At 36.6% G+C, this 4,540-nt stretch overlaps 1 annotated feature.

The window, feature by feature from the left end:
• Window positions 1,139-1,980: an enhancer, noted in NCBI's record as "OCT4-NANOG-H3K4me1 hESC enhancer chr5:123804163-123805004 (GRCh37/hg19 assembly coordinates)". NCBI's record gives its function as "activates a minimal SCP1, AML or CMV promoter by ChIP-STARR-seq in primed H9 embryonic stem cells {active_cell/tissue: H9 hESC(primed)}" and the evidence as "EXISTENCE:reporter gene assay evidence [ECO:0000049][PMID:30033119]".

The following is a 4,540-nucleotide window of genomic DNA, read 5'->3' as shown; positions in this document are numbered from 1 at the left end:
ATTTTAAAAAATATTGGAATCTAACAGCAATTTTAGAAGTATACCTCACAGAAGTCTCAATCTATTGCGGTTTCTGCTAGGACAGTCCTTGATTTTTTTTTTTTTTATAAAGTAATTCTTTCAGAGTCTATAGTTATTAAATTCTGGGGGTAATAAACATATAAATATTTATGGAAGTGAAGAATAGCTTAGATTAGTTTTCTCAGACACAGACTTCAATGTCATTTTTTTCCAACTCATCTCACATCATTTCATTTGAATTTAATACTATTGACACGTGATGATTGCACACAAACTCAAGAGTCACCCTGAGGGTGACCGTACTAGATTTCTTTTAGGACAAAGGCCAGTGCAATTAACTTCATAGGTAAAAATTTCTTCATGAAATCCAGCTGTGACATATACACTTCAGATGGACTGTATATACAATGAGAGACCTCTTTTAGAGGAGAACAAAGTAAAGGGATTTGGTAAAACTTATCATGAAACTAGATTAGGTCTAGACCCCAGAAACACTGGGCTGAAGAAAGTAATGTGAATACCAATAATCTAAATAGGTCTTTTAGAGTCAGGAAAAATAAAAATTAACTAGTAACCACTTATTAATGGTTTATGCTTTTCCAACTTACAAAACTACTTTAAGTGAGCTTTTCTCCTTCACTATTTATGCATGTGTAAAATCCATAAATCCAGTTTAATCCAGTAAAACACACTTCTGACTCCTCATTTACAATAGGCACAAAGATCTTTCACACATGTACAAATAATATGGAGCCTACAGAAACATAGCTTTGTGAATTGCGATTATGACATAACTTTGAAAAAACTGCAGGGTATTCGCAACAGAATGTGAAATACACTTTGTATAAAGAATGATCTCGAGGGTGGATCAGAAGCTGTTCCCACTGGACAGTGGTGTGTTTAGAAGTCAAGTTAATTAGTAATTAATTAACTAATTAATTAACATAGTTGTTTATAAACTACCTGCTCGGGCATGTGATGCTACATATAACCAACCTGCAGTGGCACTGAGAATATTTTGGGTTTGGCAGCTAACTCATTCTTCCTGCTCAATCCTGTATATTTTTCTTAAGACACTCAGAGAAATAGTGAAGGAAGTATCTCCTGAGTGTTCCACAACTCTGAGCAGTTTTAGGAAATCTAGCTAGCCCTCCCTCTGTGGTCTGTATATTCTTGGTATTGGGCTCATGGATATGACGGAATTCCTTTCTATACAGAGAGGATGGGTCATAGGGGTCAGGGTCCTGATGTCCTCCACACTACATTCCTGTATAATGGCAAAGACTGAAATGGGTTAATGATCTGCAACTAGTAACTAGCTATTTTAATTTTTATTGGCAAGAAAGGCAATAATCAAATGACTCCTATGGGGATGAATTATAATGATGTTAGCAATAAGCCTTCGAGTGAATTATACTAATTAATTTCTGTAGGTCAGCATTATCCATCACCTCCATCATAAAAGGCAGGGAAGCCTCAATCCGGAGAAGCAAAGTTGCATTTCAAAAGCTTTTGAGTGGGCATCCAGGGATTGGAATTTGTAGCTTTGCATTCCAAATGGGATGTTGAATTTAGAGAATTAGGACAATGCCCAAGGAGTTTACTCTCTTCCTTCTCTATGGGGGTCGGGCATAGGGGAAATGGGGCGCAAGTATTTGGAGGACCCTGTGGGGATGTTGTTAGTGCTGTCCTGGCAGTACTTGAGCTGCAAATAAACAAACTTCACTCCAGAAGACTCTCTAGTGTGCAACTTTGAAGGCATGAAATTCACACACACAATGGTGGTTCAATACGCTACTGCCCAGTAGGACCACTCTTTAAAAATTAAAATAAGATTGAGTTGAGTTTTCTATAAGAGGAAGCAGCTCTGCCCTAGAAATTGGCTCTATTCAGCTTTCTGAATAAGAGCTAATGCAAGTCTTTTGTGAATATATTTTTTCACAGTGTTGTCTTACGTTAGCACAAATGGGCAAAACAAACAAACAAAAAACCCCAAAAACGAAACAAAAGACGCAGATTGCATAGGAGAGAAAATGTAGTTTATTCTTTTTGTTATATGTGTCTTTATTTTTATTGTATATATTTAAGGTGTACAACATCATGTTTTGATATACATAGTGAAATACTTACTACAGTCAAGCCAATTAACAAATCCATCGTCTCACAGAGTTACCCACCTTCTCTTTTTTTTTTGTGGTGAGCCACCTAAATTTCCAGTATACAGCACAATATGATTAACTATAGTCCTCATGCTGTACACCAGATCACTAGACTTATTCATCCTATGTAACTGCAACTTTATGACCTTTGACCTACATTTCCCCATGACTTTACATTTCTCCCCCATCAGCCTCCCCCAAACTCTCCCTCCTGTCTTTGGTAACCACCATTTTACATTGTTTTTTTGCATATCAACTTTTACAAATATTCCGCATATAAGTGAGTTCATGCAGTGTTTGTCTTTCTGTGTCTGGATTATTTCAGTTAGCATAACATTCTCCAGGTTCATCTCTGCTGTGGTAAATGCCAAGATCTCTTTCTTTGTTAAGGCTGAATAATATTTCATTGTATATGTACAACACTTTTCTTTATCCATTCACCCATTGACAGATACTTAGGTTGTTTCTATATCTTTTATTGTGGATAATGCTCAATGAATATGGGAGTTCATATACCTCTTCAACATACTGATTTCACTTCATTTGAGTATATCCAGAAAAGTGATTGCTGGGTTAACCATTCAGTTCTATTTTCAATTTTTTGAGTATCCTCTGTATTATTTTCTGTAATGGCTATACCAATTTACATTTCCACCAACAGTGTATGAGGGTTTCTTCTTCTCCATGCCCTCACCAACAATTGTTATTGCTTGTCTTTTTGGTAATAGCCATCCTAACAGGTGAGAACTAATATCTTATGGTTTTTATTTGCATTTCTCTAATAATAAGGGATGTTAAGCATCTCTTTATAAACTTATTGGACATTTATATGTGTTCTTTGGTGAAATATCTATTCAAGTCCTTTTCTGACTTTAAAATGTGTGTTTTTTTTATATGAGTTTCCTTTATATTTTGGATATTAACTCCTTGTCAGATATGTGGCTTGCAAATATTTTCTCTCAGTCTGTAGACTGCCTTTTAATTTTGCTGATTGTTTCCTTTGCTATGCAGATTTTTAGTTTGATGTATGAGTTCCACTTGTTTATCTTTCCTTTTTTTTTTTCATTTGCCTGAGTATTTTGTGTGATGTCCAAGAAATTATTGCCAAGGCCGATGTCAAAGAACTTTCTTTTACATTTTCTCCTGGAAGTTTTACAGTTTCGTGTCTTTCAGTTTTCCCCTATTGATTATGATGTTACCCGACAGCATTTTATATAGCTTTAATTATGTTGTGGAAATTTCCTTTCCTGTACCTAAATTGTTGACAGCTTTTATCAAGAAAGGATCTGAACTTGGCCAAATGTTTTTTCTGCATCTATTGAGATGATTTTGGGGCTTTTGTCTTTTTTCTGTTACTGTCGTATATCACATTGATTGATTAGGTTATGTTAAACCAACTTTGCATCCCAGGGCTAAATCCCACTTGGTTGTGAGTAAGCTCCCTGAGTTGAGCTCAGTGCTGGTGAAAAATGCAGGGATCCCCAGTGGTGAAGACTTCAGGCGTCTGCAGGGGTGATGAGGACAACCAGAGTCCTCCAGCTCACTGTTTCCCCTCAGGGGCACATTCCTCCAGGTTCGAAGCTGATCCTGACTGGGGCATGGGGTGGCACAGATAATGTGTTTCCTACCCTATTCTAAGCAGCCATCCTTGGTTTCTGTGCTCCACAGTGTTTCTGCTGCTCCTTTGCTGTACTCTAGAACTCTTCCTTCAGTATTTTTGTTGACATGTAGTTGTTCCTTCTTTTTTCTATGAGGGAGAAGAACATTGGGACCTTCTGGCCTTCCATCCCATTGATGTTACTCCTTCGGAGTTTATTTTTAAGGTGGGAAGACATCAACTACTCAATCTTGATAATCCAACACAGAATGTACAGTCACGGTATCAGGTTTTCTGCCATTTTATAGGGCAAATATGCTTATACAATTTATTTGAGCAAGATGAAAAATTGCTAATACTAGAGGAATTTTATGTTGTGTTAATTCAGAAACTCAACTTTCAGCCTTCTTGGCACTATGACAAATACACTTGCGATCACAACAGCATATTGTATTTAAAATGCTGCACTCTTTCCAAACTGAAAGCTACTGTGTTTAGACGCTTCCCCCGACTCTGGCTAGGGAATTTGAAACCATTTTCTATGAACAGTATAACAAACACATATGTCAAAATCTTGTTCCTTGCTCCTAGGCATTCTAGCTTTTGAAGTTTGGTAGCATTTAATAGTGACCATAGTGACCATCAGCTTAGTATGGAGAATAATACTTGATGTTACGTCTTACAATCAATTATAAGATAAAGACATATAATTCATAGCTAACATGACTCTCCATTCTGATAATATGGCTGCTAGTTTGGACAG

This window comes from Homo sapiens, chromosome 5 (genome assembly GCF_000001405.40).
Source record: "Homo sapiens chromosome 5, GRCh38.p14 Primary Assembly".
NCBI lineage: Eukaryota > Metazoa > Chordata > Mammalia > Primates > Hominidae > Homo > Homo sapiens.
The sequence above is the reverse complement of the archived record's forward strand: the minus strand, read 5'-3'. Positions and strand labels throughout refer to the sequence as shown.